General features: G+C 35.5%; 1 protein-coding gene across 6 annotated transcripts in view; it reads right to left on the bottom strand.

Annotated features, from left to right (window-relative positions):
- Positions 1–21,491, bottom strand: part of WDR11 (WD repeat domain 11) — a 58,163-nt gene that overhangs the window by 17,736 nt on the left and 18,936 nt on the right. For 5 of the 6 annotated variants that reach the window (XR_428707.4, XM_005269963.3, NM_018117.12 and 2 more), the window contains 10 exons: positions 20,443–20,619; positions 17,866–17,950; positions 13,330–13,436; positions 10,888–10,963; positions 7,901–8,009; positions 5,851–5,975; positions 4,953–5,100; positions 2,605–2,711; positions 1,780–1,894; positions 902–1,073 (listed from right to left, as the gene is read on the bottom strand). Coding sequence is in view for 4 of the 6 variants with exons in the window: in XM_005269963.3 (XP_005270020.1) it covers positions 902–1,073; positions 1,780–1,894; positions 2,605–2,711; positions 4,953–5,100; positions 5,851–5,975; positions 7,901–8,009; positions 10,888–10,963; positions 13,330–13,436; positions 17,866–17,950; positions 20,443–20,619 (1,221 nt within the window). In the remaining 2 variants the exon portion in view is untranslated. The remainder of the gene's footprint in view (positions 1–901; positions 1,074–1,779; positions 1,895–2,604; positions 2,712–4,952; positions 5,101–5,850; positions 5,976–7,900; positions 8,010–10,887; positions 10,964–13,329; positions 13,437–17,865; positions 17,951–20,442; positions 20,620–21,491) is intronic. The other variant, XR_007061973.1, reaches the window with a different exon arrangement.

Raw genomic sequence — 21,491 nt, 5'->3', positions numbered from 1 at the left:
AGCCCTGCTAACATTAGCAGCAACTCAGTAGTGCCTCAAGCATGAACACAAAGTGAAAAACCAGGTTTTTAAAACCTTACTGTGTCTGAAGTGCCAAATATTGACTCTACAAAGGTTCAGAAAAGTCTCATGAAATTTTCTACATATCAGCCTAGAGTGTGCACCAAAGTTTTGCTGGGAGAATACTCAGGCAAGAAGTTCCCTCCTCCACTCCAAGTAGGATCAAGTATCTTCCAAGGATGAACACTGTATTGCATCAGCCAAAAGCTGCCTTTTAAACTGATAAATGGATGCATTCACAATTGTCCCATTCTTTTTTTTTTTAGAAGTCATATATGGAGTATATTCTACTAAAATGCTTTTTATTCTGGTAAAAAGCAATGTCAAAACAACCATACAAAACAGAGCAAGATACTGCAATCTGCTAATTTGCTTGACTGGTCATTTTACTAGTCACAGATTGGCATCAAAATTCATAATACTCAGAACACTTTCTAAAGTGACTTTTCAATGATATATGGTTGCAAAAGACATAAGGCCATTATTAAAAAGCCAGCAGCCTTATCACTAGATTTATGTCCTCTGATGAGTTTGCCTAAATTCTGAGTAAGCCATTTTTATAAACATAAACATCTTTTATCTTGTTAACAAACCAAAGAAAAGAGTCAAAAGGGGCACTTAAAAAACCTGAATTGAGAATGATTGACATCTATAGTTACAAAGATTGCAGCATCTCAGCAGTAAAAACACTCAAGCTTCAAGTTAATATATTTTCTTAAACTCAGATTCTAAGAAAATAAGACTGAAATGAAACAGAAGCAGCAGCTCTCTCCCCAAAATACAAGAGCTTGTGGCAAAGTAAAGACAGGTTTCAAAGCCCCCTATCATTAGGATTCCATACCGGTTAACTCTTGTTCATCCATTCTAAAGCACGCAGACTTCATAGACATCTCTAGGACTCTGATGCACCCATCATCTGAGGCCAAGATCACTTTATCTGACGTACACCAGTCCACATCCAATATACGAAAGGTCACATTTCTGCCACTTCTTAAACTGCTCACCATCTGAACCTTCAAGAGTGAATTTGGGCATCACTTCCAGACAGAAAAGGAAGATCTTTATTATTCTAGATTAAATGGTCAAGGAAGACAGTCTGTGGCAAAGGCCCAGTTCAAGTTTAGAACTGAACAGCCTCTGGCAATCTATCTTCCACAAATAGGCAGCATTTTAAAGGTCTCAGAGACAGTGATAATATTAAAAAATAAATAAATCGGCTGGGCGCGGTGGCTGACGCCTATAATCCCAGGACTTTAGGAGGCTGAGGCGGGCAGATCACCTCAGGTCAGGAGTTTGAGACCAGCCTGCCCAACATGGCGAAACCCTGTCTCTACTAAAAATACAAAACATTAGCCGGGCGTGGTGGCACATGCCTATAATCCCAGCTACTAGGGAGGCTGAGGCAGGAGAGTCACTTGAACCCAGGAGGTGGAGGCTGCAATAAGTCGAGATCGCGCCATTGCACTCCAGCCTGGGCGACAAGAGTGAAACTCCATATCAAAATAAAAAATAAAAATAAATAAATAAATAAATAAATAAATCTTGAGTTGTTACCTTTAGAACACAAATACTGTAAAGTAAAGAAAATAATTTGTTATGGGAAACTTGACGAACTCATTAAGTACTTTTCATTTCTAAATCAGAAAGAAGTTTTTTAACAAAGCACAGTTCCTATGGCTAACAATTTATTTACGTTTTATCCTCATGGAGAGGGCCTACCTCTTTAGTATCCCACACTTCAGCTCCATCATTGTACATTGCTATTAATTTTTGATTTCCTTTACCAGGAGCAAAACGAATCTTCCTCACCCAACTTCGGTGTGTGGGTATTCCTCTGAAGACAAAGAAACAAAAACATCAATACAATGTAGAGTGAGATCTGGTCACCAGAAGCTATGTCTAACATCTCTCACTATTTCCATTTCTAACAGGTCTGATGATGGGAGAACCCTTTACTTGCTGGGACTGGGGGCCACATCTGACAGAAAGGGCCTGCCCTTTAAGGTCAGCTAAGACTTCTGCAGGGGCCACTTGCAGATAACTATCTCCTAAGAATGCTTGGCTCAAGGCCCATCCTCCCAAGTTTAGGTGAAGGGACCCAAGGGTCCAAGCTACACCTCCACGAGTTTACTGATCCTTCTTGCCAAGTCACAAGCCTCTAATGGAACCATATCAAGATGTCATTTTTTGGCCGGGTGTGCTGGCTCCTGCCTGTAATCCCAGCACTTTGGGAGGCCGAGGTGGGCGGATCACGAGGTCAGGAGATCGAGACCATCCTGGCTAACATGGTGAAATCCCGTCTCTACTAAAAAAATACAAAAAAATTAGCCGGGCGTGGTGGTGGGTGCCTGTAGTCCCAGCTACTCGGGTGGCTGAGGCAGGAGAATGGCATGAACCCGGGAGTCAGAGCTTGCAGTGAGCCGAGATTGCACCACTGCACTCCAGCCTGGGCGACAGAGCAAGACACCATCTCAACAAAACAAAACAAAAAGATTTCATTTCTTTTTTTTAATGAAATAACAAGATTTCATTCTTGGCTTATACCTGGATACTCTGCCTTTCAAGTCCCAGAAATTTAAATTTCCATCCATATCTCCAAGCACTAATGTATCACCTTTCCAAGCGATGCAGGTAATACTACCCATACTTCCCTAGAAAACAACAGCAACAAACAAATATAAATTTCACTATGCTGTATAAGACATTATAATAAATATTTTAATAAAACTTAATTTAAAGGGCTGTGCTTTAGTATGCTTTTAGTCATCAAATCCTAAAACAGACTTTAGACACTAACAAAGAGCTACATTGCCTATCAATTTCAACTATGAAGAAATAGGAGATTTCAACTTCATAGACATTAAGTAGTTACTGGAACTAGATTTAAAGAGAGGGGATGTCTTTTGAGGAACAAATACCTCAAAAAAAAAAGGGGGAAATTAAAGTAAGAAAAACAGAGAAGTAAAGGGAAGGTTTTCCAGAGAGCCAACTCAAACTTATCTCTCACTGCAAAAGGATAACTAAATCCATTCCAAGGGAAACTTAAAGCTCTTTTATAACTAATTGTGCCGTGATTTTTCTATTGAAAAAAGGATCCAGAGCTTCACTGACACGTTTTGGAACATTGTGGAATCATGAAGGTGAAGAGATGCTGTTTACTAAAGGCATATGCAGTTTAAATTCACAGAAAGCTTTGCTCAGAAGTTACATATAGAAGCACAACATAAGAATGAAATGCTGCTGTAGTCAATCTAACTTGGAGGAAGAAAGGAACTTGCAGTTCTAATAGATGCTCAGAGGTGGTATCATGGAGGGCTCAGCAGCCTGGGCTCTGCAGTCACACTGCCTGGGCTTGAATCCCAGCTTGAAACTGGTATGTGATTTGAGGCATGTTTACTTAACCTTTCTGTCTTGGATTTATTGTCCATAAAGTAGGGTAAGTTCATGAAACTTGAGTTGTTGCTAGTATTAATAAATTTATAAAGGCAAAGGCCTTAAAGCAATGCCTGCCATGCAGTAAATAGTCAATACATGTTAGCTATTAAATAATATTACTGCTCAATTACTTCTCTATTTATTAAAAGAAATTTTATTTTTGCATTTATTGTACAACATAAAAATTCAAATGGTATCCATGGTAAAAAGTAAGAAAACTCTAGTGGTTTGAATAATTGACCATTAGTGGACTAGCACACACACTGAATACCGTAAAAACTCTGGTAATAGTCAAGAAACAAAACAAAAACTGGATTTAAAAATCAATATTATAATAAAGTCCATTAATAAAAAAAAATATTAAAGAAATGAAATTCTGTATATAATATGAAGCAACATTTTAAGATATCTACTTTCCTAGCCATAAAATAGAATGTTTAATTAAGAAGTTGCCTTTGAAGAGACTTCTGAAACCAGGTCATAATAGACTCTGCAACTTCCTTCTTGCTTTATCAGATCACTTACTCTAGGGGAGGCCAGTTGTCATGTCGTGAGGACACTCAAGCAGCCTTATGGAAAGATCGACATGAAGAACTAAGGTCCCTCGTCAACAGCCAGCATTAATGTGCAATAGCCTGTGAGGCAGCCAACTTGGAAATAGATCCTTCTGTCCCATTACACTTCAAAAGACTGTAGCCACAGCCAACATCTAGATTGTAACTTTATGAGACCCCAAAGCCACCTATAAAATTATGGGGGTTGGCATTCTACTAGAGCATTCCATTTTTAGATAGCAATTTAAAATAAATATACCTATTTTAAAAAATCCCCTCATGCCTTCATTTAACCATTATAATAGCCTGCATTAATTAACATAAACATTTTCATGATCCATCTATTAAAAACTATCTATGAGATGCATGCTGACACAAATGATTAATGGCAAAACTTTAGTTACAGATTCCACAAGGCCATAAGAATATATGTAAGTTAGTAAATGTTAATAATACTATTACACTTACAACCTGATTACTATTATCCAAAAATAATACTAGATTGTAAGTCAAATCCTTCAGGGTAATGCCTGAAATGGAAAGAAGACAGATACTGAAGTCAGACAGGCCTGAGTTTAAAACACTGCTCTGCCATATGAGTAAGCTGGATAACTTTGGGAAAGTTACTTATTCTCCCACAGTTTTGTTATGGGTAAAATGGAGATAACTCCTCATGGATTATTACAGGGATAAAAATGAGTAGCACACAGTAAACATTTAATCAAAATAGTTACAGCGTTATTCTCTAGCAGTATGGAACAAGTTTAATCGATAATATCTCCTTAAATAAAGTTTATTTACATTAGGCTTTTCTGAAGTTTCCAACTTAACTATGCCTTCACTGGATATGGAACCAACAAAACAAAATCTTCTTGATGAAGATTTAATCAAGGTTGTACTCACATCTGGTGGAATCCGAGCACTGTCTTTTACTGAGTTTCCTTCAACAGTGAGATGATACACTTGGCCATCAATATCGGTAAATACAAAATGTTCCCGGGCAGAGATGTTCTGACTAAGTTCAGATTTACTTTCTGCCTCCTGCAGCAAGCTTTGGGATAGTGAAACATATGATAAAGATGTTTTTTTTTCCCCTAGAGTGATACTCATAATTAATTAACTTGCCCAAAGTACAGACGCATTAAGAGGAGGTCCAAAACTATTTTTTTAAAAGTCTGAAACTAATATTTGCCCAGCTAATTATGGGTAAACATGAATCACTCCTTAACAGCCACAACATCAGAGGAAGTTTACCCTGCACAGAGAGAAATGGTGATCTAAACTTAACACAAGAAAAATAAAATTCATAGAGATTTTGGCTATAGAACTGTGCTCAACAGAAGGGAGGCTGTACAGTGACCCAACATTATCTCTGAAGCCTTTTATCTGTAAGATTGGTATGGATGGGGATGATACACAAATTTAGGATTCCCAACACATTTTCTTTGGTGTGTATAAATGATAATATGATCTATCTGTATGTCTATGCTATGTTCATTTGAATTTCAGAAGCTGAAGTGTATGGAGTAGAAGGGCACTCGGAATGAGCACATTTACTACTAGATGCTGATGGGTGAATATTACTGCATATGTTATTAGTTATAACAAACAGTATAGTACAATACTAAAAATGATAAAATTATCTTTTTAGTAATCTGGGTATGTACTGAAAGATGAAACTAAGTATGTTCAAAAGCAGAGTCCAACTTGCTACCATAGACACCTTCCGATGATACTTGTCAACTTCCCAGACATGATGCTAATGGCACAAATGACAGTGTCAAGAAACACTGTACTGTACCTGATCACAGATGATTCAACAATACTCAGCTCTGTGTCTGAGACTACGGTCTGGCGGGCCATGGCCTCTCGAGTTGCAAGTTGCTTCTTTCTCAGGCTCTTCAAGTTGTGAGATGGTGACCACTCCTGTAAAGCAAATGCAGACAAACCTAGAAGTGCTAGGTTTCCTTCTGTCAAAGAATCGTCCAGAAGAGCTGGGCACACACACCACTGCCCAGTATCATTTATTATTACTACACATGAATCCACATTTGTTCTTTAGATTTTACCTACTTAGAGAAAGGCTAAATGAATGCATTTTAATTGGAGCTTTTATGGCAAACTTCCAAAAGGTCTGACCTTTTGATGTTTTTATAAAATACTTACAAAATGAAAATAATGAATTCAATGATAGTATTGCCTATTCCTCGTCTCCTCCCCCATCTCTTATGTGCACACGATAAGACAATCACAGTTCTCGAACCAGGGTCCTTTATCATCCATAGATTCCTCCAAAATCACTTGTTTTATTTATATATTCTTTTATATTCCACCTATTGTAAAGCCTTTTAGTCCAATATCCTCGCATATGTATAAGTTCTTAACATGTAGTTATTATCTAATTTACCTAAATAGTATTGTGTTTATATGTGTGTGTGTGTGTGTGTGTGTGTATATATATATATATACTTCATCCTGTTTCTTACTCTTTCCACTGTATTTAAGTCCTCTTCCTCCTGTTTCTGCATGCTACGTAATACTCCATGGGTGCATCAGCCAATTGTTAATCTGTCTCCTCTCTCAGTAAAAACACACAGATGGTCTCCAAACTCACATCATGACAAAACACACCAGTCAATATCCTTGCAAAAGTTCATTTACGACCAAGAGCTCAGCGGACACAGAAGATGTCTGTGTTTGCCCAAGTGCTGCCAGCGTGCTTTACAGAATGGCTGCATTGGTCTACATTCCTACCAGCAATGCACAAGGATTCCCATACCCTATGTTCCACCCGTACTTAACACTATATGGCTGTCCAGTTTTTGTTAGTCTAAACGGTAGATCCATATCATGGTTTGAACATCTCTGAAAACTGATGAGTTTGAACATTCCTTTATATGGCTTGTTGGCCTTTTAGGTTTCTCTGCCTCTCATTAGCTCTTCACAGACTTTGTTCATTTTCTCACTAGGGTTCCCGCTTTTTTTCACTGTTGACTTGCAGGAGTTTCTAGTTAAATTTAGACACTGGAAAATTTGTTTTCCCAAAATGTCTTCTGTATTTAACTTTGACATCTTCATCAAACAAAAAGCATTAATCTTGATTAATTAAATGCATTGTTTCTTTTTTTTTTTTGCCTTTTGGTTTGAGCTTCTGATGTCTCCTCCTGCCTCTAGGTCACAGCAATATTTTGTATTTTGTTATATTCAATTTTATAGCTTTACATTTTTACATTTAGGTCTTTAGTCCTGTGACACTCACTTCTCTATACGGTATTAAGTAGAGATCAAGTATTTTTCTCCATAAAGTGAGACAGTTTTCCCAACACCGTCTACTACACAGTCTGTCCATCCTCTTTGATTTGTGCTACTTTACTGTATATTAAGTCCCCAAATATTCATGGGTCTGTTCCTGAGCTCTTTATTAGGTTGACTCACTTTCTATTCTTGTGCCAATACAATACTGATTTTATTTCCATGGTTTTGTAAGATGTACTAATATCAGGTAGGAAGGGCCAACCCCACCCACACCTCCCACATTTACTCCTCTTTATTCAAGGATGACTTAGCTATTTAGGACCTTTATTCTTTCATAAACATTTTTGAATATGTTTACCATATTCCTCAAAATATCCAAATGAAACTTGAATTGGAATTGCACTAATATGATATTAGGTTGATTTATCCAAGAAAATAAGAATTATCTCCATTTATTTAGATCATCTTCTCTGAACACACATTTTTAACCAAAAAAATGACATTGGCAGTAATGATTTTGATTCAAGCTTAAGCAAAACATTCACCACATACATATATACCTAAATAAGCTATTAAATTCTTAAATTGTAACTTACCAAAGCAGTTATTGTAGGGAAGTTTTTGGACATCTCTCTAAGAAGGGTACAAGTCCTAACATCCCATAGCTCCAGGGGTTTATCTCTGAATACGACTGCCAAATACTGCCTAAAATAAACAAAATTACTAAATAAGCCCCTTTTTGCAAAAATTTCACCATGAATTAGAGCAAATAAAAAGTTCAGTAAATTGAAAAACTCAGCTGACGCATTCTAAATATAGACAATTTAAACTACCATTTAGCACCATGATTAACAGTCATAAGAAGGTAAAGCTCTAAGTGACCTGTAAGAGAACATACAGTCTCACACAATTAGGCAAGGAGTCCAACTTGGAAGAAAGAGTGGCATAGATTCAAACCCTGATGCCACAACTTATGTTAACCCTCCTGAGGCTCAACTTCTCACACATGACAGGAGAATCTCATCATGTACCTCAATTAATTGATATACAGATTATGGTAAACATTCAATGAAAAAGTATGTAAAGTTTCTATCATTCTACTACAGTTGGTATTCAACAAATGCCACTTTATTCACTTTCTGTTAAGCCTGAAAGAAGTACTGAATGACATCAACGAGTGCAATTCAACAAATATAATTTGAGCACTGATTACTCAATAAGCATTATGAGGAACTAAAATATTATCAGCAAATGATGGCTGACATAGAGGAAATGTGACAGAGTAGGAAGATCCCTGTACTCCCTGTATCAAAGGACTGAGATTCTTCCACTCAGGACCATGTGTGACCCCAACAGAAAGTAGAAATTTACAGAAAGATACCTGGCAAAACACCCAAATAGTTTGAAGTTAAAAAATATACCTCTGAATAACACCCCATGGAAATTTTTAAAGATTATAATGTGAATTAAAATGAAAACATATAACCATAACAAAAATTGTAGGATACAGGAAAACTGGTGCTCATATAGCATTAACTGTTTACATTACATTTTAGAGAATCAACTTAATTCAATTATCTAAGTTTCTATTTTAGAAAACTATGTAAAAAAAGGAGAGCATATTTAAAAAGTAAGCAGAAGAACAAAAGATAAGCATGACAGACAATGAAATTGAAAATGGAAAAATCATAGAGAAGAATCAAATGAATCAAAAGTAGTTTCTTGGAAAAGATCAATAAATAAAATTGGTTGATATAATTTACTGATATTAGGAGTGGGAAAGATAATCACTGATCATAGATCCATGATGAACAAGCTTATTTCAATAAATTAATAAACTCAGCAACTTCAACAAAATGGACAGATTACTTGGAAGACACCAATTACCAAAGCTCAAAAAAAGAGAATCTAAATAGTCCTATATTTATGAAAAAAAAAAACAAAACTGAATTTGTATTTAAAAACTTTGCCACAAAGAAAATTTTAGGTTCAGATGGGTTTCCTAATAAATTTTTCCCATTTAGTAAGAATAATATCAATTCTACACAAACTCATTCAAAAAAAAAGGAGAGAGAATACTTTACAACACGTTCTGCAAGGTCAGTATTACCCTGATACCAAAACAAAGGATATTACATAAAAACGACACCAATATCCTTCATGAACATAGATATAAAAACTCTTAATAATATATCATAAAACTCTTAATAATATATCAATAAATCAAATCCAGCAATATGTCAAAACAGTAATACATCACGACCAACTAGAGTTTATTCCGGGAATGTCATGTTGGCTTAACATCTGAAAATCAATCAATGTAATTCACCATATTAGTGAACTTCAAAAAGAAAAACAAAATAACACACACACACCATATGATGATATCAATGAATACAGAAAAAGCATTTGATAAATTCAACACCTACTCATAATACAAAGGCTCAGCAAACTAGGAATAAAACTTTTTCAACTTGATAAAGGAAATATACAAAAAATCTACAGCTAGTATCATACTTAATGTTGAAAGACTGAATGCTTTCTCCATAAGGTCCAGGATCAGAGCAAAGATGTCAGCTCGTAGCTGACATCTCAGTTCTAATCAACACTATACAGGAGGTCCTAATTAGTGCAAGCAAAAAGAAGGCCTATAGATCGAAAAGATGTAAAGATGTCTTTACTAGCAAACGAGACTGTCTCTATAGAAAATCCTAAAGAATTAACAAAAGCACCTATACTAGAAGTAATAACTAAGCTTAGCATGGTCACAAGGCACAAGGTCAATATCAGAAAATTAACTGTATTTTAATATACAAATAATAAATAATTGAAATTTAAAAATGTCATTTATAAAAGCATCAAAGAAAACACAAAATAAACAAATAATATGTAAGACTTACACACTGAAAACTACAAAATATTGCTGAAATTTTAAAAGACCTAAATAAGTGGAGAGACATACCATGTTCATGAGTTACAAAACTTGTTAAGATACCAATTCTTCCCCTCACTGATTGATGGGTTCAATGCAATCCCAATCAAAATCTCAGGAAGATTTTTTGATAAAACTGATAGTCTGATTCTAAAATTTATATGGAAATGCAAAGATCTTAGAAAAGCCAAAACAAGTTTGAAAACTACTTTAGAAAGCTTACTCTTTCTTTGTAATTTTGATTGATTTTCATTCAGTTTCTATTTTTAATAATACTGCTTTACATGTTATTTTCCCCTGAAACAAAAAAACTCAATTTCTGGAAGCAAAATGAGTTTAAATTATACATAAAGAAAATGAGTTCTTTCACTCAGTAACTCCATGCTTAGATAGAAGTACATAAGAACTTTATCCGAAAGTAAATAACGATTCATGCAAAAGTTACTTCATCTTTTTAGAAGTAGAGAATTAAAAGTGATAGCAACTTAATTTTGTAATCAAAATATTTTCTTTGGGCTGCATATCACCATTTGCTATCACTAAAAAGATTCCATATGCATTCCAGCACATTCCCATTTTCTTAAAGATTAAAAAAATCCACGAGATTTCATTGTGATAACACCATAGATTTTTTTTTAGGTTGACACTTACTTCAAATGAGATACTTTAATCATTTCGATGGCAGATTCATCATTGCCTCTTTCACCACGAAAAGCAATGCTCCTACCTTTAATTGCAAATATTTAAAAAAGTGAGAACAGTGCATAAAACATGTATGAAAAACAAGAAGCCACGCCAATGTAATTTGATCAGTCCTACCCATCCTACCCTCTGTTCTCCTATTCATTCTTCCATTTGCTTCTAATCTGTTTCTGTTTTTTCGGGTTTTTTTTTTTGAGATGGTCTCACTTTGTTACCCAGGCTGGAGTGCAATGGCGCAATCTTGGCTCACTGCAACCTCCGCCTCCCAGGTTCAAGTGATTTTCTTGCCTTAGCATCCCGAGTAGCTGGGATTACAGGCGCTCGCCACCACGCCAGCTCATTTTTGTACTCCTAGTAGAGATGGGGTTTCACCATGTTGGCCAGGCTGGTCTCGATCTCCTAACCTCTAGTGATCCATCTGCCTCAGCCTCCCAAAGCACTGGGATTACAGGTGTGAGCCACGGCGCCCAGTTCCTTCTAAGCTGTTTCTAATAATGTAAGTTCAAAGAATATTCTTAAAAGTGTTACAAACTAATGATCAATAATATATCACATATTCAGATATTTATTTTGTAAAAAGGCATTTTCATTTGTCACACAGTTTCTTGAATTCTATAATTCAATTTTAGAAATTTAAAAAAACAATGTTAAGTTTTAAGATATTTATGGTACAGCAATTGTCTGGTGCGAAAACTACTTATTTAAAGTAATATTTAATACAAACATTCCCATGTTTCCAAATACTAACTAGTGGGGGAAAAACTCTTGAAACATGTATTTAAGATCTTCTTGTCCCATGTGCAAAATACTAGTTAAATATTTTGAACATGTTCCTCTCAAAACATCTTTATAAACTGGAAACTAGGGAATAACTACGGTGTTCATGTATGCTGTGAAAGAATGAGTTACCCGCAAAGGAAGTTACATGATTTTCTGTGAATAAAAAAAGTATAAATTCTACCTTGTATGTTTTAGTATCTTGTGTTAGATTTTTATCTACATTAAACAAAAGAGAGAACATACTCAATTCAAGGACAACTGAAGGCCTAAACGCCTTCCTACTCTTTGTTGAGATTCCATCATGTGGAATCTCACTATACTCACTATTATTATACCCCAAACAGCCCATGTCCTGTCCTGACTGCACTAGTCTGCTGCCCTCCTTAGAAGCCCAGGCTATAAAAGTCTACCATCTATGAACTCAAATATCCCACTTAAGGAAATCTGTAACTGTTACTGTAGATGTTTGTTCCTTAAAAATACATCTGTGCAAAGCAGATTTTAAGTTATCTAACAGTCCTGAACTTGAGCTGACCAAAACAAATAAAACAGGGATTTTTTTTCTTTTTTTTAAGTCAATGATACTAGACAACAGCATTTTATCCCTGGGATCACTAGACACAGGGCCAGTACCATTCTGCTGGCAAATTAGGAACTTGGGGATGAGAGTCAGTGGACAGGTCACTTCCAATGAGACTAGAGCAGCAACACTGGACTAAAGACGGGAATGATTCCTGGAAGTTCAGCAACATACCCTGAGAAGTAAGAACAACTGGATCTTTGAGAGCTTGAAAATACATATGGAGAACATAAAAAAGCAACCATGTACTTCATTTATTTACAACTTACTTGATTTACAACCATTTATTTGATTTAATTCATTTTACACATACATACACATGCTCTCATTGGTTAAGATCATCTACATATGATTCGTGTTGCTATACCATTTTAAAGAAACTCATCACAATTTTATTTTTAAAAAAACCTCTTTGAAACTACTGCATACACCAGAAAATAATTTGAAACTCTTTCCTTATTATATTTTCAAATTCTTTATTTTGAAATTCACTGGGTTTAGGCTTTCAATTCTGAAAAAGTTACCTTATTGGGACGTTTCCTACTGTAGAATCTTCAAAATCCCAAATTAAGTTTCTCTATTCATTCAGCCAGAGACTATTACAAGTTTTAAATTTGAGCATTTAAAAACAATCCTTAACCTATAAATTTTCTAAGTGTTTCCTATAAAAGCCAAAATTTCCAGCACAGACTCTAATAAAGTCCATTGACAGAGTTATTTTTAAATCGATCTTTTAAAGTTGGTTACATATAACAATGCACTTAAAAGTAGAACCGGTATCCTATTTTTTAATGAATCTGTCTGTTCAGGCTAATGGTCCTCCATTTTACCATGTATTTGTGCCAACAACATTTCCATGTAAACAATGATGAGGCCTTTCTAGGGCAATTATTAGAGAATAAAAGAATAAATATATAAGCATGAAATATAAAAAAAAATTCCAAGGTGAAAGAAGTACTTTCAAACATGTTTTATAAATGGCAACATGTTTATTCAATATGACAAACCTATTTGGATCTTTAAAAACAAACCTGTTGGAAGATCAACCAGTTGAAGTTCATTTCTCACTAATCCCATATTGTTTGGTGTTGAGGTAGCAAAAGAAAGAAAACTAGTCAAACTTGTCCATTCAATACCCCTATAATAGGAAATGAGATAAAGGTTAAACTAATTCTCTTTTTTATTTGAAAGGTTCATTTATTTGAAAAATAAGTTTTCCAAAGACCTAAATTTTATTACACAAATTAATTAAAAAGTAAGCATGACCTTTTATCTTAACATGACCTTTTATTTGAGACTGTATTACCATACCTAACACATACAAAATCATTTCTAACCAAAACTTTATCTACAAATGTAATGACAAGATAGTTTAATTATCAGGATTCACATCAGTATTAGTATGACTATTAAAATCTGGCCAGGGAGAGAGTCATATGACAGTAGTTTCAGCCTACCAGACAAAGACACAAACTAATGACCTAAGAAAATCTACATATACCTCTCTATTTTGTTTACTTCTAAGTATCTTCCATTGCATTATAAGCTTCAAAGGCTTTCTCTGTTTATAAGCATAGAGAAGATATTCAACAGATATTCATAAAGCATCACAAGTTAAAACATCATGGTTTTAAAAACACACACACTTTGTGCTATCTGCTGTCATGAGTCCCCGGCACAGTATATACAACCTTCAAGTGCTTTAGATTATGATTTTTTAAAAACACACTTAATAAAAGGTAGAAAAACAACTTTCTAAAAGTTAACCTTATTTGGACATGAAAATCTAAAATGTTTTGAGTTTACTGCTAATAAATTCAGACATTTTTATAATACATCGTGAAAGTTTTGTTTTGTTTTGTTTTGTGTTTTTTGAGACAGGGTCTCACTGTCACCCAAGCTGGAGTGCAGTGACACAATCTCAACTTACTGCAACCTCTGCCTCCCAGGTTCAAGAGATCCTCCCACCTCAGGCTCCCAAATGGCTGAGCCTACAGGTGTATGCTACCACGCCCAGCTAATTTTTGTATTTCTGTGAAATTTTCTTAATGGCTTTTGATTATAATACTAAAATTGCATTAACTGAAACACAAAGCAGGATTTTAGTGTTCTCTTGGGCAGTATCTCTGAATATAAAATACAAATTATTTTCAAAATGGCAATGAAGAGGAAAAATTCATATAAAAATGGAGTATCTTTGTATGATCATTCACATTTATCTGATAAGTAGTATATCCCTCAGAGTTAGTATCCCAAGTAACACTTATAATCAATTTCAATGTTACTCAACCATAAATATTATCTTAACATGTATAAGTCAAGTATTTAGTGACATCTATAACCTGACTAATCCAGGATAATAAACCTTACTTAAAATTAATACCTCTCTGATTAATTAGCTATTAAAACTTTCTGTGTTTGAAAAGACAACATGTTTGATTTTTCAGAAGCATGTGTGAAATTCTTAGCACAAATCTTGGCTCAGCCAACATTTTAATTTTACTGCCAACATGATTCCTACTAACCTATGTGCGTATTTTAGCAGGAGATGCAGCACATGCACTGTAAGTATAAGTGAAGAGTTCAGGTTCTGAGGCTTCAAAGGCCCAGAGTGAATTCCATCTAGCTCCTTCACAGATTACTCTGTAATTTTCAGTTTCTTACTCTGTAGACTGGAAATACAATACCTGCCCCATACGATTGTAGTGGGGATTCAATGAAATGATACGTGTGAAGTATTAATAGTTAACATAATCCCTAGAATAAGTAGTGATTAAATGGAGAGTTTCGATTGGTTAGTGCTGACCATAAAAGGAAACACCAGACACACAAGGCAGGGTGAAAGGAAATGTCGAGAGAAGAGGAGATGGGAAAGAGAGAGAGAGAAGATTCAGCAGTGTAAGCAGAGACTACTAGAAGTGCCAGAATGGCAAGCTACAGACACTGCAACAGAAGAGAAGAGATGAATAACAGCCTGAAAGAGTCCAAACAGATACCTGTGTCACTGCACCTCAAAAGCCCAAAGCTTTTAAAGACATTATTATTCCACGTAAATGTATCTGGGGAGATGCTGTATAGGAACAGCGTAAGGTGGCAATAAACAGTCACCTGGGCTGCACCACACAACAATGCACTTGAAACAGTAAGACAATGCAAACTTTTCAGAGATTTCCATCACAATCAGAAGCTGTGATACTTAAAAGGTTAACCTGGCCTGGCGCGGTGGCTCACGCCTGTAATCCCAGCACTTTGGGAGGCAGAGGCAGGTAGATCATCTGAGGTCAGGAATTCAAGACCGGCCTGACCAACATGGTGAAATCTTGTCTCTACTAAAAAATACAAAAATTAGCTGGGCGTGGTGGCATACACCTGTAATCCCAGCTACTTGGGAGGATGAGGCAGGAGAATTGCTTGAACCCGGGAGACAGAGGTTGCAGTGAGCTAAGATAGCGCCATTCCACTCTAGCCTGGGCAACAAGAGCGAAACTCCAACTCAAAAAAAAAAAAAAAAAGAAAAAAAAGGTTAACCCTTCTCCATTAAGAAAATGCATGTACTCAGGATAATGTGTTTGCTAAGGGTTCACTGAGAATTTTTATACACAAGACCTACAATTATTTAATGTACAGAAAACAGAAAATGACTTCTTATGCTTTCACTGAAAGATCATAAAAAAAAACTGGAAACTGGCTGGGGGTGGTGGCTCATGCCTGTAATCCCAGCACTTTGGGAGGCTGAGGTGGATGGATCACTTGAGGTGAGGAGTTCAACATCAGCCTGGCCAACATGGTGAAACCCCGTCTCTACTAAAAATACAAAATTTAGCTGGGCATGGTGGCACGTGCCTGTAGTCCTAGCTACTCAAGAGGCTGAGGCATAAGAATCACCTGAAACCAGGAGGCGGAGATTGTAGTGAGCTGAGATCGCGCCATTGCACTCTAGCCTGGGTGACAGAGTAAGACTGTATCAAAAAACAAACAAAAAAGTGGAAATTCATATTTTATATATGTAACTCTACGATCTATCACTGATAGGACACAAAAGGAAAATAGCCTTGCATTCAGCGAAATAATGCTATGGACAGCACAGGTAGGCATTTTGGAACAGAAAGCAAGAAGCACTTTTCCGTCAATTTAGCTTTCCCTCGGACAGCTCTGCATACACAGAACTCATAAGCAGATCATGTCCTAAAAATCAAATAAATGCTATGCAGCGTTCTGATGATGTTTAAACAAAGAATAAATAAGACAAATTAACAATTAAAATGACTTTATTTGAATTTGTCATAAGCAGTCCTACTGATGGATCGTTATAGAAATGAAAAATACGCAGCCATAAAAAAGAATGAGTTCATGTCCTTTGCAGGGACATGGATGAAACTGGAAGCCATCATTCTCAGCAGACTAACAGAGGAACAGAAAACCAAACACTGCATGTTCTCACTCATAAGTGGGAGTTGAACGATGAGAACACATAGACACAGCGAGAGGAACATCACACACTGGGGCCTATCGGGGATTGAGGGGCAAGGGGAGGGAGAGCATTAGGAGAAATACCTAATGCATGTGGGGCTTAAAACCTAGATGACGGGTTGACAGGTGCAGCAAACCACCAAGGCACATGTATATCTATGTAACAAACCTGCACATTCTGCACATGTATCCCAGAACTTAAAGTAAAATTAAAGAAAAAAAAAGAAAGAGGAAATGTGGTACATACACACCATGGAATACTATGCAGTCATAAAAAGGGAGATCATGTCCTTTGCAGGGATATGGATGGAGCTGGAAGCCATCATCCTCAGCAAACTAACACAGGAACAGAAAAACCAAACACTGTATGTTCTCACTCATAAGTGGGAGTTGAACAATGAGAACACATGGACACAGGGAGGGGAACAACACACACTAGGGCCTGTTGGCGGGGGCATGTGAGGGGAGGGAGAGCATCAGGACAAATAGCTAATGCATGTGGAGCTTAAAACCTAGGTGATGGGTTGACAGGTGCAGCAAACCACCAAGGCACATGTATAACTATGTAACAAATGCACGCATTCTGCACATGTATCCAGGAACTTAAAGTAAAAAAAATTTTAAAATAATAAAAAATAATAATTTTGAGCAAAATAAATAAATAAAATAAACCTGAACAAGGCAACGTAAGGATATCCAGTGAGAAAACAGCCTGGCCCTTAGGAGAAATAAATGAGGTGCAACAATATTAGTTGGTACAAAAATAGCTGTGTTTTTTGCCATTTAAAAAAAACAAAACAAAACAAAACAAACAACAACAACAACAACAAAAAAAAAAAAAAAACTGCAAAAACCGCAATTACTTTTGCACCAACCTAATAAAAGAGAAAACATTCTCTACTGCTTATGTTCTTTACACAGCAAAGAATTAGTTATCATCCTTGATTAACATAGCCATTAGTTGGACATGAATATTATTCAAACTTTTCAAATAATCACCACTGCAGATATTACAGAGTACTCAATGTAGAAAAGTCTATGAGAATTTTTTTTCTGATATGATGTTTGTGATGTCATCATCACAATGACATACTTACTTGACTTCACATGAGTGGATGCTTAACTCTTTGTGTAGCAGACCACTGGTGAGATGGTACACCAGGACAGAACCATTACTTGTACCTTTCAAAATGACATCATGGAAGAGCATTAATTCAGTGGGAGTTCCAGCACTTTGCAAGAAAAGTCTTTTCTCAAGACTTTAATCACTTAACACATTTATCTTTTATAAAAGAAACCCAAACTATGTGTTTAAACAAACACACAAAGAAGAATGAATTTCTCTGGTCCACTTCCTTATAAAAAAAATGGGCCTAACCTCACGTGCTCAAAAGCCTTGCCTAATTCCAGGAATAGATTTTTCACAGAAAGACCTTAAAACTTACATTAATACACATACAATTTGAAGAAACACTTTCCTAAGCTTTTATACACATGGGAATTTATACTTTTTGAGACTCAGAAGGTTTATTATAGCTGGTCCTCAAATAAGCAATCTAGCAGAGCTCACTAACCAGGGTTATCCATTTTTCTTTCCAAAGTTTTCTTTTTGTTTTGTCTCTTTTATTAAATAAATCCTGACAAGAGAGTAAAGTATAATGGTTAACTGTGGTTTCTGCAATTAAAGAAACCTGGGCTTAAGCCCTGGCTCTTCCTTATACTCTTGGATGAATTACTTGCCCACACTAAATCTGTGTTTTCATCTCTTTAAAATGGGAAGAGTAGAAAATCTAGTTGTTGGAGATTAAATGGGGAAACATAAAGCACTAAGCACAGTAATTGGCACAAAGTAAGCACTTGGTTAACTATTAGTATTCTGTCATCACTATAATTAATAGTTTACAGGTATTATTCTAAAGCTTTTCATGGTCTCAGGTAGTATGTCTAAAGTTTAAATGTAAAGGACACGGACATACATGAGAAAGTAAAGCTTCAGTCTCTATAGTGTTTTTATAAGTTAAGCAAGAAAAGTGAACAGTCTATATGGACAATCACTTTTGCACTGCACATGATTTAAAGATTAATGAATTCATGCAAAGCAACAGAGTGGAAGTAAAAATGCTGGGCAAATTCCAATATTATCTTATTTGCTGAATAAAACTCCAGAAATCTTTTGCAAAACTATTCTAGAAAAACACATTGTACAGTTGTTTACATTTATCATCTATTTCATAATAATACCTTTTGGCACTGAGAAAATAACTAAATTACTAAAATTTTTCAATTAACAGAACTTCATAATAATCCAATGATTTCTGCAATCTGAAAGTTTTAACAATGCTGAACCTATGATCTAATGCACTAGGGGCACCACAAGGAGAATTAATTCCATAGCTGAACTCTTATTTATCTTTCTTAGTGACACCTCTAGACAAACTTTTAGGTACTTATATTTTTACTTTGTTATACTAAATTCAGTAAATGATATTCACTACATACCAATACAGCTTATTCTACAATGGAAAGCTCAGACCTTGCCATAGCTCTTATTACATAGCTATCCCAAGAAGTAGTTTTCCCCAAGAAATTGACAAAATCCTAACTGACAAATCAGGAACACTGACATAATACATACATGCACATATGAAGCACACTGATGAATCCTAATTAAAATCTATTAGTGGTGAAATATTAATCAACAGTTTCTAAAGCAAAAATTAAACATTTATCTGCATTATATAAATCGGGACACATATATAGACAATTGAATCATAAAAATCAAATCGCTTTCAAAAGATAGGCACAGAAAAAAACAGAAGGGTACTACCAAACAGTAATACCCAAATGAGTCTTTAACACTGAGAAGTCAGCCATGTTGGCCACAGAATAAATATGGTGAGGTTTTCACCACAAATCACATGTTAATAGACTGGGGGAGAAAGCCAGAAGCCAGCCGATAGCATCTTAAGAAGAAATGTTGAGTTTCAAACAAATACACTGTTTTTCAGAAGTTTTGGAGAAATGTATTTTAATAATGTGTACTTAATAGCAAACTAAATTTTGTTTTTTTCTCTATGCTGTAAAGAAAATTAGGTTCATCACATTACTATGAAATCAATGTGACAGCAAGTTGGAACCCAGATAAATTTTTCTACCTATAACATACAAATACACAATTTCACACCAAAAGGCAAATCTTAATTTATAGGGACCATAGCCACTTTAAATAATATTTAATATATAACTCTTGGCAAAAGAAGAACCCTGCTATTATTAAGCTATTAACCCTGACTATATTTTTAGTCAATAAAGACCCAACGAAAACTGACATGACATAAAGACTGGGGTGGTCCAATTACAGACAAGGAGCCTGGGATTCAGCACTGCAGGGATGAGCCTCCTGGTATTTCCGAGATGAATGGACAGCGTCAGAGACTCGACTGTCCAGTCTCAGGTGGATGAAGACTCAGCATTCCAATTCAATATAAGACAGTTGGAATAAAAGGACAGAAATTTTTTTTTTTTTAAGTTCCAGGATGAGTATTTACAGTTTCACTTAGTCTCTATCTCCTTTTAAAGCATCCTCAAAAAGAATAAAGGATCTTCTAGAAACTAGAAAACCTAAACATCTTATAAAGTGAGTTAAAAAAAAAAAGACCAGGTCAAATACTCACCAACAGCCAGCAGTGGCTGATACATCTTGATGTTTTTTGTGGTCAACGGTGGACACATACGAATAGCAAACTGTGGTGCGGGCAGTCCTGAAAGCAGTCCCGTCAGCAGGAACTTGAGGTGCACTTCCCGCAGAATTGAACCTCTGGGATGTTCTTCCCCAGCAATTGCACTTTGCCCTGATTTGTAATAAAAATAACAAATATATTAACTACAGTGTATGCTGATCTTAAAAAGCTAAAGAAAATTTTCAGTAGAAATGCTCTTCAGGTCTAAAAGTATAATGTAGTTAATGTAGTACTTTAGTGGCTGTAGTTATTAAGGACACAATGACTCTGTACCTGGCTATAGGACTTAAATTGCATCAACTAACACCTCAAAGGATAGATTACTCCCGAGTCCTGCTATCCAGAATGCAGGGACCTATGTCTTCTAAGAAACACTGTTTCAGTCAATGTTCCTGGTATTAAAGCACTACACAGGCTTCAGAACAAAGCAAGAGAACTTGCATTAGAGAACAGTTTCTGCAGAGTGAACTACTGTACCACATTTTTCTCATTTTACTGCCTTTTGAAAGGGTTACTTTTCAATCTGATGTACTCTGTAAAGTACATACAAAATTGGTATTCATGAAAAACAGATTTAAATAACTTATTCATAATTTCTAATAAGAAACCTTAATGTGTCAGTGTAATTACAAAATGTTTTATAAGTAAATATAAAACAAATACAAATATATATATTCATAAATCACGTGTATAATATATACACCATCACTGTCAATAGTTAAGACTTCAATGGCATTATTTTCACATATACCATTCGTACTTAGGTTAGCAAGTCTCAAACTAAAAAGATGACTCCAATAAAAATCATTCTAACAAAAGCTAAATCTAAACAGTACAATGAAATCAAGACTGTTCATTAAAAAGGTATACAAATTTCCTTCCTATAAACCACTACAGAATATTGGGATTAACTTGCCAAAAATAGAAAGAATATGCATGAGTATATACATACATGTCTACACACACATAAACACAAACATGTA

The sequence above is a fragment of the Homo sapiens genome, chromosome 10, assembly GCF_000001405.40.
Source record: "Homo sapiens chromosome 10, GRCh38.p14 Primary Assembly".
NCBI lineage: Eukaryota > Metazoa > Chordata > Mammalia > Primates > Hominidae > Homo > Homo sapiens.
This window is presented reverse-complemented; position numbering and strand designations above follow the sequence as displayed.